At 46.5% G+C, this 19,353-nt stretch overlaps 1 protein-coding gene and 2 long non-coding RNA genes across 13 annotated transcripts in view, besides 7 other annotated features; 1 reads left to right on the top strand and 2 right to left on the bottom strand.

The window, feature by feature from the left end:
* Positions 9,170-9,219: an enhancer, noted in NCBI's record as "active region_13510". NCBI's record gives its function as "activates an Ori minimal core promoter by ATAC-STARR-seq in GM12878 lymphoblastoid cells {active_cell/tissue: GM12878}" and the evidence as "EXISTENCE:reporter gene assay evidence [ECO:0000049][PMID:35858748]".
* ZNF516-DT (ZNF516 divergent transcript) lies at positions 11,042-13,792 on the bottom strand. The gene is made up of 2 exons (NR_164145.1): positions 13,345-13,792; positions 11,042-12,852 (listed from the first exon to the last, which is right to left on the bottom strand). It is a non-coding gene; the product is annotated as a ZNF516 divergent transcript (long non-coding RNA).
* Positions 12,712-19,353, top strand: part of ZNF516 (zinc finger protein 516) — a 138,738-nt gene continuing 132,096 nt past the window's right edge. For 2 of the 11 annotated variants that reach the window (XM_011526273.4, NM_014643.4), the window contains exon 1: positions 13,889-13,987. The gene's annotated coding sequence lies outside the window, so the exon portion shown is untranslated. Of the gene's footprint in view, positions 13,436-13,888; positions 13,988-14,319; positions 14,434-16,040; positions 16,122-16,153; positions 17,163-17,617; positions 17,685-18,026; positions 18,451-19,353 lie in introns of those variants that run through there. The other 9 variants (XM_011526274.4, XM_017026097.3, XM_011526269.3 and 6 more) reach the window with 7 other exon arrangements.
* Positions 13,780-13,839: a silencer, noted in NCBI's record as "silent region_9557". NCBI's record gives its function as "represses an Ori minimal core promoter by ATAC-STARR-seq in GM12878 lymphoblastoid cells {active_cell/tissue: GM12878}" and the evidence as "EXISTENCE:reporter gene assay evidence [ECO:0000049][PMID:35858748]".
* Positions 13,970-14,069: a silencer, noted in NCBI's record as "silent region_9556". NCBI's record gives its function as "represses an Ori minimal core promoter by ATAC-STARR-seq in GM12878 lymphoblastoid cells {active_cell/tissue: GM12878}" and the evidence as "EXISTENCE:reporter gene assay evidence [ECO:0000049][PMID:35858748]".
* Positions 14,770-14,859: a silencer, noted in NCBI's record as "silent region_9555". NCBI's record gives its function as "represses an Ori minimal core promoter by ATAC-STARR-seq in GM12878 lymphoblastoid cells {active_cell/tissue: GM12878}" and the evidence as "EXISTENCE:reporter gene assay evidence [ECO:0000049][PMID:35858748]".
* ZNF516-AS1 (ZNF516 antisense RNA 1) lies at positions 15,213-17,479 on the bottom strand. The gene is made up of 2 exons (NR_136504.1): positions 17,442-17,479; positions 15,213-16,374 (listed from the first exon to the last, which is right to left on the bottom strand). It is a non-coding gene; the product is annotated as a ZNF516 antisense RNA 1 (long non-coding RNA).
* Positions 15,958-16,097: an enhancer, noted in NCBI's record as "active region_13509". NCBI's record gives its function as "activates an Ori minimal core promoter by ATAC-STARR-seq in GM12878 lymphoblastoid cells {active_cell/tissue: GM12878}" and the evidence as "EXISTENCE:reporter gene assay evidence [ECO:0000049][PMID:35858748]".
* Positions 16,778-16,827: an enhancer, noted in NCBI's record as "active region_13508". NCBI's record gives its function as "activates an Ori minimal core promoter by ATAC-STARR-seq in GM12878 lymphoblastoid cells {active_cell/tissue: GM12878}" and the evidence as "EXISTENCE:reporter gene assay evidence [ECO:0000049][PMID:35858748]".
* Positions 17,488-17,577: a silencer, noted in NCBI's record as "silent region_9554". NCBI's record gives its function as "represses an Ori minimal core promoter by ATAC-STARR-seq in GM12878 lymphoblastoid cells {active_cell/tissue: GM12878}" and the evidence as "EXISTENCE:reporter gene assay evidence [ECO:0000049][PMID:35858748]".

Here is a 19,353-nt window from a genome sequence, read left to right as displayed (position 1 = left end):
TGCAGTTAGCCGAGATCACGCCACTGCACTCCAGGCTGGGCGAGAGCCAGACTCTGTCTCAAAAAAAAAAAAAAAAAGTGTATATGTATATGTATATGACATATAATATATAGTATATATGATATATATCATATATACTATATATGATATATATCATATATACTATATATGATATGTATACTATATATATCATATACTATATATATCATATATGTACTATATATGATATCATATATACTATATACTATATATGATATCATTATAATATATACATTATCTATAACATAATATATAATATATAAAATATATGATATATAATATAATATATAAAATACATGATATATAATATAATATAATATATGACATATAATATAATATATATAATATATGACATATAATATTATATATTATATATGACATATAATATTATATATTATATATGACATATAATATTATATATTATATATGACATATAATATTATATATTATATATGACATATAATATTATATATTATATATTATATATGACATATGACATATATTATATATGACATATTACATAATATATATAATATATGACATATACATATAATATATAATATATACATTATATATGACATAATATATATAATATATAATATATATAATATATAATATATATAATATATAATATATATAATATATATGCCATATATAATGTATATATGATATATGATATATATTATATATTATGTCATATATAATGTATATATTATATATTATATATATTATATATATATATGTTATTCCCAATTTCCTCTACTCTGGAGTTCAGAAGAAGAATTCTAGGCCCTGAGGTTGCTCAAACAAAACTTGGTGAAAGGAAAGGGAAGTATTGCAATCCTGCACATTGAGGGGGTTTCCCTCCTCCAGGCCGCAGGTACCGAGTGGCCGCTAGTGTCTGGAACGGCATGCAGACCAGTCTCAGACCTGCAAGGACAGAAGGATGGTTGCTAGGTCAGGTTCCTGCAGCAGAGCAAGGGCAAGTTCACTTCTGCTTCCACAGTGCTCAGAACGGGCCTTTCAAGGAAGGATCCTATGAACGGAGGAGACACCTGCTCGTGGCGGGGGAGCCTCGCTCTCCCAGACACTGGCCAGTGCTCTTTCTCAAAACTCACTCATGGGAGCGACGTCGGCTCCTAGCCCCGTGGGTGATAGTGTTTTTGCGCATTGTGGTCAGTCAAGTGGCTCCACCAAGGAGGAGCAGAAAGAGCTGAGTGTGGGGGTCCAGGGGTCTCGCTACCGTCTGCGGTGCTGTCTTCGTTCTCTAAAATCATGTCTTCTCATCTCTGCTGATGCCTTTGCGTCTGTGTTCAAGATACTCCCATCTCTCCCATCTTAAAACAACCATAATAGAAGACAGAAGTCCATCATCCCAAGACCCTTGGAAGTATAGCTCTGAGAGTCCACTGACGCCACCACCCGCTTTCTCCGTGGCAGGGCTCTGGTGACTGCTCTGTTTGCCCCTTGAAGCTACTTGCCTGCAGCCTCTGCCATGTCCTTGTTGGTGAATTGAACAGAAGCGCCACCGTCAGCTCCCCAACTGCCGCTTCGGTGGCATCTGACACTCGTGGCCACGTCTTCCAAGGTCTTTGAGGAAAAGCCTGTGAGAGTCAGGTGTCCCGGTGAATGTCTCTCCCGACGTCCCCGATTCCCAGCAGCTCTTCCTTGTGCCTCCCCAATCTCCTCCAGAGACACCCCTTTCTCCACCTGTCCGTGAGACAACTCAGGATTTTGATCTGCAGGTTGATTATGGGACTTCCTGACTCTCTGCCACCATACCCTTCTCCTCAGTGAGAGGAGAAAGCAATTGTTACAACATACCTGTTTCAAAGGACAGAGCAATCTTTAAAAAGACATCTGACTGTGTCTTCTCTTGTTCAGAGCCCATCTGTGGCCGCTGGCCATGCTTCTGGCTGTGTTGCCTCTTCAATGTCAGCCCCAGCCCCTCGGTGATCTGACCTTGGCTCCGTCTCACCATCGCACACTGCCCTCTCCGCCTGCACCGTCCCCGCCACTCACTGGGCTCACAGACTGGTGAGGAAGAGTGCAAAGCAAACCACCATTTCAGCACAGGTTTAGGTTGTTTTCAATGAAAAGAAATGGAAATCCATGAATAAAATGGCTAAAACAATAAGGAAAATTCGTTAAAGTCCAGTGGAGGTTTTCTGCTCCAAGCTGGGTGACATTGGTGGCTTCACAACCACATTTTCCTCCCCTCTTTTCCCTCCGCCTCCTGGCTGGCTCCCTAGGCGCCCCTCTCCCCCGGGGTGGCACAGCCACTGGCATCCTGCCCCCACATTACTGCTGCTCCCGGTGACTGGCCCCAGGACTAGCCAGTCACCATTTCCCCACGTGGAATTCCTTTTCTCCACAAGAAGACTCCTTGCTAGAAGCCCCCTGTCCCACCCCAGCCAACTTTCCCTGCTGTCCCCTTGCCATAATTACGTCATATGGATGTATCTACTCCAAATGCTGGCAGGGCAGGGGCTGGGAGTCCGGGGCTGGGACAACCGCATTGGCTTAGATCAATCTCGCCGCCTCCTTTTGCGGCCTGGGGCTTTAGTCCACATTCCTGCAGCCATTGGCCATGCACAGTGGACACCATGCAGGATGGAGGAAGGAGTGACCCACAGGGTCCATGGTAGATATTTCAGCCAATAGGACAGGGGCAGGCATAGCGCTGTGGGACCTGTGCCTGGGGTTCCAGTCAAAATCCAATGCTTGGCAAAGTCCCCTGGCCTAGTACAAAATCTGTGCAGGCCTGGTAACCTCCTTGCTGGCTGAGACACTGTCTGCACTGAGGAAGCCTCGGGCCTAGCACCATGACTCGCAGGGAATCTGAATTCAACAAATACTCGTATCAGTTGAATGAATGAACGACTGGTCCTCTGCTCATCTTATGTGTCTAATGTTATCATTGTGATAATGCCAAGTGCCATGACCATGTCAAAATTAACACTTTAGGCTCTATGACTGGTGGTTTTACTGGCACTACGCACAATGTTCCTTGTGTTCCTTTAGCCTCTTAAATATTGTTTAACATGATTCATTGTTTGGAAACTGCTAAAGTTATAATCATGCATGCAGTTGACATTGGTCGATTAAGCTGAGTCCATCCAGGAATTGTCACAGATTTGCAGTTTATCACTGATACGCTTCACAAGAAAATCTTGGTTAGAGAATCATCATTCTTATTAAAATTTCTCAGTGTCCATTATATCAGGGGATTTAGAAATTATACATCATTGCTCAAGACATTGTTCTGCCTTGATTTCATCATACAGCAGGGTGAAACTCATAAAGCCTGCAGGAAAGCTCCTTATAGTACATGGAGGGGGAAGATAGATTTTAAGAACTATATTCTGAGACACATAATTTTTAAAAACATGTATGGATTCAAAACCATTCAAAACCAATTGACTGTGACATGTAAGAAACAGAACAACTTTGCCATGAGTTTTAAACTTGTAAATGGTGTGAAAAATTCTGAGCCACTCTGTTTTGCTGTTGTGAGCAGTTAAAGAGAATAAATGAGAAAACACTTCAAAATAGCACATGTGATTATTATAAGTCCATAAAATAGACCCTCCTTTCCTATTTCAAAAGGAATATTGTGGTCACCTGTTCTGCACAGCGGGTATGAGGACACATAAACTCATACAAACACCACCACTCCGGTCGCTGGAAGATTAGACCTTTCAAAAATTAATGCAGTTTTATTGTTTTTTTTGTCTTGTAAATAATCGTGGATAATTTATTGTTCCCATCTTCATATTTATGGCACCGTCTACATGTTATCTTTGAAAATGGGCACCTTCATACACGAAAGAGAGAAACAATTGTGTAGATGTATAACTGTCCTTATGTGGACAGACATCACACTTTGGAAATCACTTTTTGGTGCTGTATTTTAAACATTTTCAATCAGAATTTGTTTTTTACTTGGTTTCTATATTTTTGCTTAGCATGCTAGATAACCAGGCTTTTTCCAATCCCCTTAGATGGATGAGCGGTGTTAGCTTTATTCTCTGCCTAGGTTCATCAAGAGCAAAGAGGTACTGAAATGAATAGGATATTTGCACTATTAACTGCTCTGCAAAATTGCAGTTTCTTGTCCAAAACTGGACAAGAAAGGGTGACGTAATATTGCACAATAACGTCTCATGGTGGGAGAGAAGGACATTATATAAAACGAAAATAATATTGTTATAGGTCCTTAAAAAACCAACTTCAGTTTTTGAAATTCTTTTTGTGGCATTGGTAATTTGAAACAAAGTTTCATCAAAGTTTTTAATATAGGAGTATGTGTGCGCACTATTGTATTTAAAAATAAGATGAAATTTCCTAGCATTGAAAAGGTGAGAAGAGTTTAGCAGTTGTCTATATAATACTGCACAAATATGGCCTTTTTATTAGACGTTTTTGTATTACTCCAAAGAAATGTTTTCTACAAGTGGAAATATTAGTAAAATCGTATTATCAAAGAAGGTTTCCTAAAGAATACAAGACCTAGAATTTTGTTATAGAAGTTTATTATTAGTTTGCCTAATATTTCTTCTCTGCTCCATTGAGGTGAAGCCCCAATATAAAAAACCGGATAAGCTCAATTGCAAGTTCAAAAAAAAAAAAAATTGAGATGTGGGGGAGGGGTGGGGCGGTGGAGTATTGCTTTTCCCACTGTGTAAGGATGGGGTAATTGATTTTCTGGAAATAAAGAAACATATAGAAAATTGGCTGTGCTTAAGGATTCCTTTTCACTTTTACTAATACCCTGAATTTACTGAGGTAATAGAACTCAGAAGCGAACGAGAGGGAAGAAGAAAAACAACCGTCCCGCAGCTCTTTCTGTTGGCCCACTTTCACAAACAGCCTGCCCAGCGCTACAGGGAGACCCCGGGGCGAGTGGCAGCCCCTCCTCTTTGGATTTCCTTGCTTTTGTAAATTTGTCAGTCCATCCATGAACTTTGTTTGAACAGAGTTTGGTACTTAATGGATGATTGTATTGTATTGTAACTCACAGTGTAACACATCTTTTCTGTATTTATTTTAAAGAAAGGCTTTCTAGAAGCCAAAGGGCTTAAGCTGTAGGAAATAAAGAAGCGAGAGTGCCCGTCCAGGTCCTGCACACGCTGCATCTCACTCAGATGCCTTGAAGTCCACACCCCAGAAGTTTCTGCACACCAAGGAGCCTGTCCGGAGGCCTCCCTCTCTCTTCCAGAGGCGCAGGGCTGGTTAGCTTTGGAATTTAACGGGGGAAAAGCAAAGTGCTGACAAGTTCCCTGCCAGGAAGCCTCTGGGCTCATGTCTGTCTGTTGAAACCCAAGCACTGCCCTACAGGGCCCTGCCTCGCAGTAGACAGGGCGCCTTGGGAGGAAGAGGCAGGCTGCAGTCACAGGGGAAGAGCATGACTGGGTCTTGAGTGAAAACAGTTTGTAAACATTCACACTTTGAGGTGTGAATCTCAGATTCTGCTAGGCATGGCCATACCAAGGACACTCTGAAAACAAACACAATTTAAAAATCCGCGGGAGAAAGGAATGGTTCTAGAAATGACTTCCAGTTCAAGAGTATTAGCACAATTAGAGATAACTTTTTATGCCTTCAGATATTTTAAAACATCTTAAATTAACATATAGTTTTATAATATTGATGATATCAACTGCTATTTGAGGAGGGGGCCTGTGCTATTAAGAAAATAACTTACATTTGCTCATACTAGTATAGTACGAAAACAGTTTTAAGTGATTTTCACATTTAAATTTTTCTCATTAAAAATAACTGTGTGATTCCCACTTTGCAGATAAAGTAATTGCTATAAATTCTCATTCAATTATGGGTTGATAGTTTTTGTCTCCAAATCCTTATGCGGCACACTGTCAGAATTTATTTGGTGACAGTGTCATTGTGAACAGAGTCCGTTACACTCTCATTTCACAGACAGCACAAATCTTGTAAACATAGTGCTTTTGTCTTTGCTTTGGGTACTAGGAAGCTCAGGGGAACATTCTGCTGCTTCTGACAGTTCAAAGGATGACTAGACATGTATCCACGTGTGCTGGTGTTAAGACTGGTTGAGCTGAAATTGATCCTGATTTTTCTGTTTTTCCACTCTTATTATTCCTGACCTCATTCTTCCCACTGCTGAAGCTTTTCTTTGTATTTTATATATTTTTTAAAGCCAGCTCAACTCCTTTGAGAAACCAAATGAAACATTTGCATGGAGATTCTGTCTCCACCAGCTAGTTAGTAGGTATTCTTGCACAAATATGTAGCACATATTAGGTATGTGGAAGACTAACAACACTTTGTGATAAGCGGCAAATGCCAAAGTGCATGATGACGTAAACAGAACCAGAAGCTGCATAGCTTACACAAGCGCAAATGACCAATAAGCAGAACGAGAACTGGACATGAGAGTGTGTGACAAGTTCCTAAACATATTGTGAGAAGACACATATTTGGCCCTGTCCGTCTATAAAATTATCTTTAAAATAGCCAGGGCTGTCGTGTTTCAGCTGCGTACAGCTCAATGTAGGTGGATGTATGGGTTGGCGTCATGGTCGAGGCTATTTCTAAATCCATGGCTGACATTCGCCAACTCTGAGAGACGGGCGGGACTGTGAACTCTGGGTCTCTCCTTCAGCATCTGCCAAATGGGACAATAGTGGCACCTACCTCATGGGTTATTGTGATATATTAAGTGACATAAAATGTAAGCTCTTAGGAAGATTCCCTACATAATAAGCATGTAATACATACTGCTTTTAAAATGAGCACTTGATCTAGTGCCTGCCTTACAGAGTAAATGTGGAATAAATAAGTAAATGCACAGATATGAAAAATTAAGATTTAGAAGTTTCTTAAACTTTTGTCATTTTTTAAATGATGACTCCTTGCCTGAAATTTTTTTTAGATTTTCAGTGTATAAAATGTTTTAGCCATCTCGTATCACTTCCCCACATTTTCCTTTTGCCATTTACCATAAGGCTGCCATGAAAAACAAAAGTGCACAAAAGTGTGAGAATTTATACAATTTACTCACTCAATTAGCGTGATCAAACTATTTGTCTCTTTACAAAAATTTCATTTTGATTCCCCAAGTTTAACTTAATGCCATTGGTTTAACATCTGTTTGGAGCACACCAAAACACCTCTGTCTATTCTAAAATGGAATGCTTCAGTCATGCCCAGAGATCCACACCTGTCCTAGTTCAGTCCCCAGAAAGATAAATTCTCTTAATGAAGGTTTTTCCTTGGGGCCAGGAAGCTTGGGGGTGCCTTAGTGCTCGGCCACGTTCATGAACCCACCTCAAGTGCCTGACGTGTCAACCACTCTGTTTCTTTATATTGACTGCAAGTTTAGTTTTCTGATTTTTAGTATGCCTGGGCGTTACATCTTTTCTCCTTCTTTTTTTAAAATTTTTTTAATTTTTTTATTTTTTAGATAGAGTCTCGCTCTGTCTCCCAGGCTGGAGTGCAGTGGCGCGATCTTGGCTCACTGCAACCTCCCGCTCCGTGGTTCAAGCAATTCTCCTGCCTCAGCCTTCCAAGCAGCTGGGACTACAGGTGCCCGCTACCACGCCTGGCTAATTTTTGTATTTTTAGTAGAGACGGGGTTTCACAGTGTTGGCCAGGATGGTCTCGAACTCCTGACCTTAGGTGATCCACCCACCTCGGCCTCCCAAAGTGCTGGGATTACGGGCGTGAGCCACTGTGCCCGCCCCCCACTTTCTTTCTTTTTCTTAAAGTCATCTGCTTGTAAGTCGTAAATAAGCTCTGAAAATACTAACCAGAAAGAATTTAACACCAATTTGGCCATAGGGTGGCTTCATGTTGTTACGGTTTCCATTTGGGAAGGAGGTAAGTCTTTCTGTCATATTTCTTTTGAAGCTTACAAGGTGAGAAAAGACAAAGACAGCCAAATAAGGAAATCAATCATTTTAGGTAACAGAAGAAAAATTCTTGAGAATTGTTTTTGGTGAAATTACAGTCACTCTGTTTTTATTATTTATTTATGTATTTATTTATTTTTAGAGATGGAGTCTCGCTCTGTCGCCCAGGCTGGAGTGCGGTGGCGCGATCTCGGCTCACTGCAAGCTCCGCCTCCCGGGTTCACGCCATTCTCCCGCCTCACCCTCCCGAGTAGCTGGGACTACAGGCGCCCGCCACCGCGCCCGGCTAATTTTTGTATTTTAAGTAGAGACGGGGTTTCACCATGTTAGCCAGGGTGATCTCGATCTCCTGACCTTGTGATCTGCTCGCCTCGGCCTCCCAAAGTGCTGGGATTACAGGTGTGAGCCACCGCGCCCAGCCTATAGTCACTCTATTAATCAGTTTTTTCTAAAAGTTCTCTCCTGCATGTACAATCTATGTGTCTTTAAGACTGGCAAAATTGTACCTAGCTACATGCTACAACATGGATGAGCTTGAGGACATTATACTAAAAATTAGCTGGGCGTGGAGGCGCACGCCTGTAGTCCCAGCTACTCGGGAAGCCGAGGCAGGAGAATCTCTGGAATCCGGGAGGCGGAGGTTGCAGTGAGCCGAGATCGCACCGCTGCACTCCAGCCTGGGCGACAGAGCGAGACTCCATCTCAAAAAACCTGGCGACAGAGCGAGACTCCGTCTCAAAAAAAAAAAAAAAAAAAGAGGCTACAATGGTAAATTTTATATTACATGATTAAAAAGTCCCTCACCCACCCCCGCCAAAACTGTGGCTGGCCTCTCCATCAACAAAATGTCTTTATTCCTTAATTATGACAACTCATTCATATGCTGACCACTTCTTTTCTTACGGTTCTGTTTCTTACACCAGCGAACCCCCTGAATGCCAAGGCGGCTTTCCTTCGAACTGTATCATGTATGTGTCAAATGAGATCTCACGCAAAGGTCTTCCCTACTTAGTTTCATTACAAGTGTACCTAGCCTACCCACAGTGAAGGAGATATTGCTGGTTCCCTTATTTCATTTTCAGTTCCGTTAGAAAAGTTTGCATAAACATGCACATGTAATCAGTTATGCATGGTGAGCCATAATGAGCTTTGGGGGCAGAGAAAGTCAATGGTTTTGCTGTTGTAAGAAAGTGTGGTGTTAATAGGTCACAACCTATCTGTTAAGTAATTAACATACTGTAGGATTATAAGAAAAGGTAATAAGAAAAACAAGTCCCTTTCTTCCTTAACACGGGCAATCTTTCAAAAGAGGAATCTTTATTGAATTTGTCTTTCCTTAAATGAATTCTGGTCTGTGGCCTAGTTCCTTTTATTCTTCAAACCGTTCTCAACCACATCTGTGGAATTCTGTATCAGCAATTGTGAAGCCAGCTGTTGCTGAGAGTCTTTTACTTAAGTTGAAATTAAGAACAGATTTGAGGGTCGTCTACCTGCTGTGAAGTCCTGATGGAGTTACCAAAAACTGCAAATCGTGAGAAAATGTGACTGCAGTTGCTTGAACTGCTAGTACGTTTTCTACAATGCTTTCTCCTCCATTGCAAAAATACCCTAACTCTGTGATCCAAGATTGTTATTTGTTAATGTCGTCTTTATCATTATTCAAAATATATGCACAAAAATCAGTAAGAGGAAAATCTGTGTTGCAATAACAATAGTGTATGGGTCAGCAAGGTTTTTTTTTTTTTTTTCTTTTTTCTGTGTGGAAAACAAGGACAGATTGTTAACAATGCTGGTTCCGTGGGAAAGTTCTTAAGATTTCTGCTACTGGGAAAATGAGTAAGGCGTTCTCTGTCCCACACACACGGGTGCATTTTGCGTCCAATCTTGAGGCGATGCTTTGTGGATTATTCAGCAAACTAAAAATTCAGGCATACTACCTGTTGAAGGCATCCTTTGACTTGAATACAGAAGAGGGAGGAACAAATTTTCACAAAAGTGTTTCAAGCAACGTGCAAGTCTCAACCATGATTAAACCTAAATCACTGTCAGTTTGACCTCAAATAAAAGACCCCACAAGAGAAAGCTCGGTAAGAAGCCATCTTAGTGTAAACACGGGAGACTCTGGGTGTAGATCACATTAGAAGTGATTTCTTTTGTGTGTGTGTGTGTTTGTAAGAAATGTGTACGATAACTGAGATAGTTTCCTAAATTAAGATTTAAAATATTCTGTTAACTTTAGATTTAAGCAGTCTGAAACCACTTCATAGAAGACTCTATTTAAAATATAATCATAATTTTGCCACACCATCCACGAAGGGGATTATCCTGTTAAATTCCATATCGATACACCCTTGCTGAAGGACTGTTTCTTCCCTCCTCCATATTCAAATACAGTGTATTCTCTGAATTTTTTAGTTCCATGAAAAGGAAAGATTTTAGGAAAAAAAAAAAAACCAACACGTTAGGATTGGTGTAATATTTTTGAAACCATCAGTGATTAAATAAATAGCCAATTTCCATTTATACACAAAATAGTTACCTATTCCAAACAGTACAAAGGGAATGCACAGCTGTACTCCTAAAACAGTCTTTACCTAGGAATACTTGATAATTTAAATCAAATTTATCCCTAATCCACTCTGAAATCTCTAAATTTAAGTTAGTTCAGAAAACAAAAGATTACTCCTTGACTTAATTGCATAATATAATTCTTCTTTTTCAGATATAGACAATCCTAATAAATTTACACAAAGATAGGGTTAATATTATTTACTAATGAGTAGCACACCCAACTGTCTAATCAGAGCACTTAAATTTTTGAGCATGAATATTTAATATGTATTTTTTAGTTTGTCTTCAATTTTATGCTATAGTATAGACAGTTTCACTTCTAGCTTTCAGGCACTGGAGGCCTTTTTTTTTGTGGGGGGCGGAGTTCTTTTTGGTTTTTACTCTGAGCTATCTTTTTAATGGAAGTCCTCGAGAATGTTTCTAATCTAAACGTCCTCAATCACTCCATAACCATTGAACACCATTTCATCACACGTTGAAAGGGGTGGAGTCCCAAAGGCTGAACGGATAATTCGTTAGACAATAGCAAGGGAAAATGCTTTCTTTCCCCCATTTATTTCATTAACCAAAATTATTGTCTGTTATAAAATTATAAATAGAGGGTGGGGGGGAATGAAGTTAGTGAATGGGTACAAACATACAGTTAGATAGAAGGAGTAGTTCTAATATTTGATAGCAGACTACAGTGACTACAGTTAATAACAATGGATTGTGTATTTCAAAATAGATAGAAGACAGAACTTGAAATGTTCCCAACGCATAGAAACAATAAATACCCCAGCTGATGAGTACCCTAAGTGCCCCGACTTGATCATTACACATTCTACGCTTGTAACAAATACACGTACCCCATACATGTGTAAAATATCACATATCACTAAAATAAAACAAGTAGCCAAAATCAACCATTAATATTCAACCATTAATACTGCTGACTTTGCTCCATCCAAATACTATAATTTACGTAAACCTTTCAAAATAGGAGAAGCTCTCCTGGGCCATTCCAGGGGCAAACGGTGCCCTTAATCCCTAATGGTTACTTTAAGTGTTTGAAGCTATTAAAACAGTTGAAATGTTGGCAATGCTAAATATGGTTACAGGAATAGTATGGAAACTTGTATTAAACATTTGATTTTTATACCTTTTTTGTGTGTGTGGAGTGAGCTAGGAATAGTGCATTGACAAATGAACAACCACCAGTGACTTGTGTACAATCAATGTGAACACGTTTCAATTGTCAGTAACAAAATGATGCTGGCCCTCCAGCTGCCATTTTCTAGGTCTGCCACACCAGACACCAGGACTTAACTCTTTGCCCATCCATCAAATTACGCTCTCAGATTTCGCATGCACTGTAGATAAACGTGTAAGAAAGGAAATGGTTTAAAAGCACAATATTATTGTAGACAGACAATGCCCTGAGTGAAATCACATGTGGGTGACTTAAGACAGGGCCCTAAACCGGCTAGAAAAAGGAAGCAAGTCATGAACAGTTTTATGTGGAGGGGTTTGGAAGTCTTGATCACCATTCAATGATCTACCTTGTCCATTTTCAACACATGGAAATTGTTAGCGCAAGTTTGTACTTTAAAATAGACCCAAGAATGCAGATGAACGTAGGTTTACAGGACTGATATTCATTCCAAAATCCTACCAAAAAGCTATTAAAGTGTCTTCAAATTTTAATCTTTGTTGTTACCTACATGTATGTAATAATATGTGTATACAAGGACATTTACGGCTTTGTAATTAACTGAATTTGGGGATACTTTCTTTGTGCATTTTCACAGTGTACTGAAATGAATGGTGGGCACGTCAATACTTTTCGGTGAATCAGACTTAAACGTGATTGCTGAAGAATACATCCCACTTAGGCATTCATGCTGAAGCCAGCAACAATTGTCCGTGACCTTTAACATGCCCGCTCTCCAAATCAGTGCAGGTCGTTAGTCACACGGAGCTTACATTTGAGGACTCGCGGATCCTTCATAGCGGAGGTTGTCCCTGTCTTTCTGCCTGACTCCCCCCCGCCCCCCGACCCCGACACACACTCCCCACCGCCCCCAGAAACATCACACATGCAGAATGCCCCCCCCGTCTGATCGCCAGCTTTCGGGCACATGCGCCTCCCTTTGCAGCGCGTCTGGAGTAGTTTCTTTTGTAAACGCCCTAAGTTGGGGAGGGCCGCGGGCTGCGAGTGTGAGGCGCAGAGAGAGACGCCGCCGCTGAGGTAACCGCCAGGATTGCAGCGCTGATTGCTACGCGGAGCCACGTTGGGCGTCTTGGACGGAATCCACCTCCACTGCGGAGTTATCACGAGGAGAAGGAGAACAATACGGCCAGGAGCCTGGTGGGAGAAGATAGTGTTACCCCTCCGCAGGCCGCAGCTCCCCGGGTCTACGTCACCGGCCGTGAAGGGGCGCTCGCCCTCGCTAGCTCCGACCCGCCCCTCCCCCGCCCCCGCGCGCCCGCCCTCCCCTCCCCCACCCCGGCCATCCCTGCCCTGTAACAGGAGAGCGTTTTGGAGTCAAATTAGGATTTCTAGTCCCAGACTCAACTTATTACAACTAACTACTGCTCGTGGGGAGTAGGTGAGGTGAAGAAATGAAGTTTTAAGAACAGAAAAATAAGAGTTGAACTTTCGAGGCTACCGGTAAACAACCCCTTCATTTTTAAATGGCCGGGTGGCAGAGCCGCTGTTTGAAGTCTTTCCAGCGGGACCTCTGTGACCCTTGATTCAGGACTTAATGTATTGATCCTGCATCTGAACACCCCCAGAGGCATTTACCAGGAAGTTGAGTGACACGCACACGCTACGCCGTGTGTAATGCACACGCACCTGGGACCCCCGAAGGGGTGTCCCCATTTCAGTCCAGATGGGGCGCAGTGCCCAGGTACCCGCCGGCGGGACCCGCATCCCGAGCACGTCTGTACGTATGGATGCGCGTGTGCGCGCGGAAACGGCCTCCGGGAGCCGGGGCTGCAGCAGCCTTAGACCTTGACGAGGGGCGACCACTGGCCGCTGGAACCGTGATTCAGTGCTATTAGGGGAGGAATTGGCTGTGTCTGAGTCACTGCAAGCCTCCAGACTGTCCCCTCAGTGTGGCAGAACTTTGTGCTGATGAGACAATAGTGGAGTGTGCGTTTCCTACAGGGCAGACCATTTCCAGGCTGGGGGAAGCCTCCGGCCTGCGCCGGGCCGTGAGCGCCCGGCCCCCTCCCCGTGCCGCGCAGCCCCCCGAGCCCGGCTCGCGCCGGGGCCCCCGCGGGGCGGACGCGTCCGGGGCGCGCGCGGGCGGCGCGAGGAGGGGGCCGGGCGCGTGGCGGGCCCCGCGCGCCCTCGCGCGTCCCCCGCGCCCGGGCGCAGCTGGCGCGGTCGGTCTAGTGCAGCGCTCGGCTCCGCGCCGCGGGCGCTCGGCTTCACCTTCAGATGCGCGGGGCGTGCGCGTCCTCCTCCCCAGGCCCGCCGCCTCCCTGCCAAGGTAGGGGCCGCGGGCGGGGGGAGGGCTGCGCCGCAGGGGCCGCGGGCGGGCGGTGGGCGCGGGGCCCGGAGCCCCGACGTGCCCCGTACTCTGGTGTGCGCCGCTGGGGGTAGGGGGGGAGGCGCTGGGGAGGGGGGTGCGCCGGGGAGGGGCCCCCCGGGCGCGGGGAGGGCTACTTGGCTTTCCCGGTGGGTAGTTGCTCTGCTCGTCAATTCCAGGATAGGGGAAGATGCAACTTCGGGCGGCGGGGCGAGCGCCCGGGAGGTGGTTTTTACCGCAGTGGAGGGGCGGGGTGGGGGCCGGGGTGGGAGCGCGGAAGAGGCTCTGGCTTTGTACACTTTGTCAAAGGCGACGCGGGAGGAGGGGAGCTCGGATGCGCTCTCCATCCATTAGGAGACAAAGAGCAAATTGCCTTACTTTAAAGTAAAACGCTCCGGCTAATGAAGGTGGGTGATGGGGCTGCGGGCCCGAGGAGCCGCTTCAATTATTAAGGGTTTGGCGGATGGGATCGATGCCTGTGGGCACCGCGCGCTGCTGCCTAGGGGACGTGTTTGCGTGGAGGTGGGGGTGGCCTTGTTTTTTACGGCCCCCTCCCCGGCTGCTTGCCAGTCTGCTGGGAGCTTCTAAGTGACCCTAACGTTAAAGAAGTGAGAGGTCCTGGAAGGGAAGTTCGGGCGGGGGTGGGGGTGGGGGCGAGGGTCTGGCACCGACTCGGAGAGGGGTGGGCAGGGACTCCTCGGAGCTGCGCCCCGCCGGGTGCGGGTGGGGGAGGCCTCGGTGGCGAGATGAACCCGGGTGTATGAAGGAAGAATGCGGTGGGGTGTGTGTGGTTGGGCGGGAGGTGGGGGGAGGCGCCTCCGCTGCCATTTCCAGGGAGAACTAACAGACTGAATAGTTACGATCAGTATTTAGATTAAACCGCCTCAAGTTTTAACGAAACTTTGTATGAATAAGTTTGTTAAATGGCAGCCGAGTGGGGTATTTAAAAGCAGCAGTTTATGTGTGTGGTGAGGAAAGCCAGTGGACCCCCGCAATTAGGGACCAGAGGGAACCAGCCTTTTACCCGAAAAATGTGGGTCTGTAAGTCAGCCTCATCTATTATCAGCGTTAATAAGCTTCCCGCAGCAGACCGGGAGCTCTGGGGGCTGTGTGTGTGTCTTACTCATTCCGCTGATAAAGAGTCACCGGGTCTCCGGGTGTGCAAAGATCAACTTGCGCAGCCCTCTTTTTAAATATATTCATTCTGTGCTTTATTTAATCCAGATGCACAAAAAGCCATTTGCTGCTGCATTGTTGGTTTACATTTTTTGAAAAGGCGACTGGTGTAACCTGTGGAATTTGAAATGCAAATAAGAGCCTGTGGGAGTAGAGGCAGAACAGATCAGCATTTATAAAGTGGAAAAGATTTAATGTCTTTGAAATCATTGCAGGGGAAGAAACTGGAGGGGGAGTGTGATTTTTCAGGGAGTGAATTGTGACGTCAGGTCTTTTTGGAAAAGATGTTATTTTTAAGGTCTGAAACCCGGCTAGGTAAAGTGCTTACAGGAAAAACAGATTACAAGATTAACATCTGTTAACATGATCGTTTATCTCCAGCCAAAAATAGGTCAGTTCTTTCTTAAGGAAACACGATTGCTGGCGCATGCTTAAATAATAAAATCAAAACGGCGAGTTCATAAATTAGGAACGAGTGTTTGTTACAATCTGACCTGTGAAGAAACGTTTTTGAATTTCGAGATCAATGGAAGGTCAAAGTCCCTTTTCGGTGTAGAGAGCAACTCTTTCCCCTGCGTCGGCCCCCGCCCCCCCCCCCGCCCCCCGCGGAATGACCCCTCCTTCTTTCTCGGAGCTCCCTTTCCGCCTCCACTCCCTTCGTGAATTTCCCTTTCCATCCTTTGTGGAAGTACAAAATATATTTAAATGGATATCGTCTGACGCCTCCCTCCTTAAAGAAGGCAAACTCTGCGCAGATGGCTAACTTTCAGAGCTCTGCTGTTGTTTTACCATTAAATGAAACGGTAGGGAGGAGAGGAGGAAAAAAAAAAAAGGAAACAGCTTTGCGAAGTCTCCCTGCCCCCTGGGCGTGAGTGACGGCTCTGCTGGCCAATCCGCAGCGGCTTTCTCCATCCCGGAGGTAATTTGGGGTGTGTGTGTGAGCGCGCGCGTGCGCGTGCATGAGCCCATGTGTCTGCACACTGTGAAGTCTGGCCAGCCCCGCGCATCCGCAGGCTTCTGCATTTACACAGATGTGTGATGTAGACGTGGACACGCTTTTATTCGAGTCAGTTCGGCTACATGGGCACGCAGCAGCCCCCACGGAGCGCCTCCCCCTCCGAACGTTCTGTGAAGCATGGGGTTTAGAAGCACTTTCAGATTCAGGTCGGAACCTGCAGAAGGGGGAGAAAAGAGGAGGGCTGTGATTGTTTCTCAGCAACTGGGGACTCGAAACGTGCGGTTTCTCTGGCCTTGGTGCCTGGGCACGCGCGCCCTGGTGCGTTTTTGGTTCAGGTGATGATGGAACCCACTCGCCCGGGCAAAGCGAACTGAGAACGCGGATTGCTGAAACTGATGTGAACTCCGTAGAAAAGTGAAGGGCAGCATGTGTCTTCCAACTTCACATGTGATTTTCTCACTGGGAGTTGATGCCTAGTCCCTGGCAAATTCTAGAAGGTGAAGCGCTCGTGGCCAGTGAAAGTTCGGCTGCCCACCCGCCTCCTGAACGCTGCGCCCTGGCTGCGTCTGACCCGCACAATGGGCGTATTCACGGGCACAGCGCGTCACCGGCCACCCCACGCTTGCAGCTGACTTACTGTGGCACCGACTTTCTCAGGAATATCGGTAGTGATGTGTGTGGCTCGCGTAGTACGCACCTCGGGAAGCGTACGGACCCGACCTGAGCCGAGCAGCATCTCCGTGTAAATGTTGGAGACGCGGTGTCTTCCGGGAGCACCGCGGGGTTGCTGCGCTTCTGTACCCACCGGGATGGGGATGATGCAATGGAGAGGTTAAGGACCCACGTGCCCACTACCTCCCCGGAGACCCCTGCAGGGAGACCCCTGGGAGGGACCTCGTCCATGCGCGGGTGTGCCCGGCCACCAGGCCGCACCGAGGTCACCCGAGGGTCCGTGGGCGACCTTCGTCCTCCTCTTCTGCAGAAATCTAACTCGGTTACAAGGTAGCGTCCGACTCCGCGCCTTCCCTCCCACTCGGGCCATTTCCGCCCCCCAGCCCGAGTTCCACCCAATTCTGCCCCTCCCCAATCTCAGGAGCCGGCGGAACCGGGACTGGGCAGCCCTGGGAGGTGTCGTTGGATTAAATCATTCCTATTTCGGTGTGTCTGAGCAGCAGCGGCGCTGGGGCGCTACTGGGGGACCTGGGGCACGCGCGGCCAGGGGCCGGGGGCGAGAGCGCAGGGCGGCCCTCTGGGCTGGGGGCGGGTCGGGGGGGGACTCACCTGCCCGCCCCGGGGTGGGGGCGGTGGCCGCTTGTTGCTGGGCTGCCAGGAGGAGGGCCGTGGGCGGGGCGGGAAGGGGCGGAGAAGCACGGGGAGGGCCTGGCCCGCCGCCCCCGCCCCCCGGCGCCCGCCCCCCGCCCCCCGCCCCCGTCATGTGGAGCGGACGTCACACGCCTGCACTGTAACCCAAGAAGTGAAAGAGACGGACCCACAGCCCAACTTCGCACCATAACAAAGGCGGGGGTCTGTGCGGGCCGGGGGGCGGGGGCGGGCGGGGCGGGCGGGGGGAGCCGGCGGGGGCGGGAGCGAGGCCCGGAGGAGGAGAGAGGGGGCTGCGGGGGGAAGGGCAGGCCGCGGGGTTGGGGGGAGCGAGCGGATGGGGCTGTGGAGGGCCGGGGCCGGGGCCGGGGCCGGGGAGGGGGGCGGGTCCGGTCCGGAACTGGGGTCTGCGCGGGGCTCCGGGCCGGGGCAGGCGGGGGTCCGCGCGGCGGCGTGGACCGGGCTCCGGGGGCCGAGGCGCGGCGGAGCCCAGGTAATTGGTTTCTATTTTAAACTTCACTTTGTTCTGGCGGAGGTGGGGCGGTGGGAAAGGCGTGGCCCCGAGGACGATTACATAAGTGTTCACACCTGAACCGGTCCTGCGCCCGCGAGCGGATTTGGGGTGGGAGTTGGCGGTGGGCACCCGGGCTTGGGGCGCCTCGCGAGGGGCTGCTGCGTGGGGGTTTTGTGTTCTGCGTGTGTGACCTCACAGTGTCTCCGCGGTAAAGAGGCCGGGGATGGCTCTGTGGACTGCCTGGAAAAGCCCAGATGTGCCCGTGGGCGTTGGGCTGGCCTTCCAGGGGTGTCCCCTGCGTAACAAAGGACGGAGCCCTCGGACCCTCCGGTCCGCTCGTCGTGTGACTTAACCAGCAAGTCACAAAAGGAACTTTAGTGGGGATCCTACTTACACATACAGCAGAAAGGCATTGCCCCCGTCAGCCTGCCATGCAGTTTCGAATCTTGATTGAAGGTAATTTAAAAGCTGAGTGATGTACGTTCACCATGGGGCTATGGAGTAAATACTATTAAAGAAAATGACCCGAGTAGATGCAACGGTGGCTAGCCTCCCAAAAGGAGCTTTTCCAGCTTATTTTAAAAACCACCTTATTAATATGATTGAAGTATTTTGGTTTAGGGATGTGTTACTTAAAAGAGCTAGGCATGCATGTTATTTGATAGGATACTGGCTACTGCCGTGTAAAATAAAAAGAGCTCATTTTATCATTTGTTCCAGCTTCATTTTCACTTGCATTCTTTGATTATGTCGTCAGGTAACTGTTATTTATATTTACACAGACCAGCCAGAATTAAATATGCCACATACCACTATTGTGCATGGGTCTGAGAACCCCTCGCCCCCCCTTAGTAAAATTGGAGAGTGAAGTTGCGTAGGAGCCTGCCGTGGTGTCAGGGGTTTGAGAGTTGGGTTACTTGTAGGAGGACGTCTTTAATTTCACAGGAGTGACCCCCATGGCCATCTTGAATGGGCTCTGGGATGAACTGAATTCTGTGTAAGACTCACAAATATTTTGGTAATTGAATTTGAATTTTGGTGTGTTAAGGCACAAGCATGTCTAATGTTTTTCTTAATTCATTAGTAGGGCTTTGTTTTCTTAACATTTGCTAATTTGAATATACTGAAACACCAGAGCGCATTAACCTTCTAAAAAAATAATAATCCCGGTGGATCTGTAATAAAACTAACCAAGAGGAATGGGGATGCCTCGCTAGAATGAAACACAACACCAAAATAGCAGGTTTAGTAGGTACAGCTTTCAACAATGCAGAGAGATGGGAGTTATGCCTATTTTTATTTCTGAAAGCTTTTGTTTATTAGAATAATCTTTCCAGATGGCTTAATATCCTGAAATAC

Source organism: Homo sapiens, chromosome 18 (assembly GCF_000001405.40).
Source record: "Homo sapiens chromosome 18, GRCh38.p14 Primary Assembly".
In the NCBI taxonomy this organism is placed as follows: Eukaryota; Metazoa; Chordata; class Mammalia; order Primates; family Hominidae; genus Homo; species Homo sapiens.
This window is presented reverse-complemented; position numbering and strand designations above follow the sequence as displayed.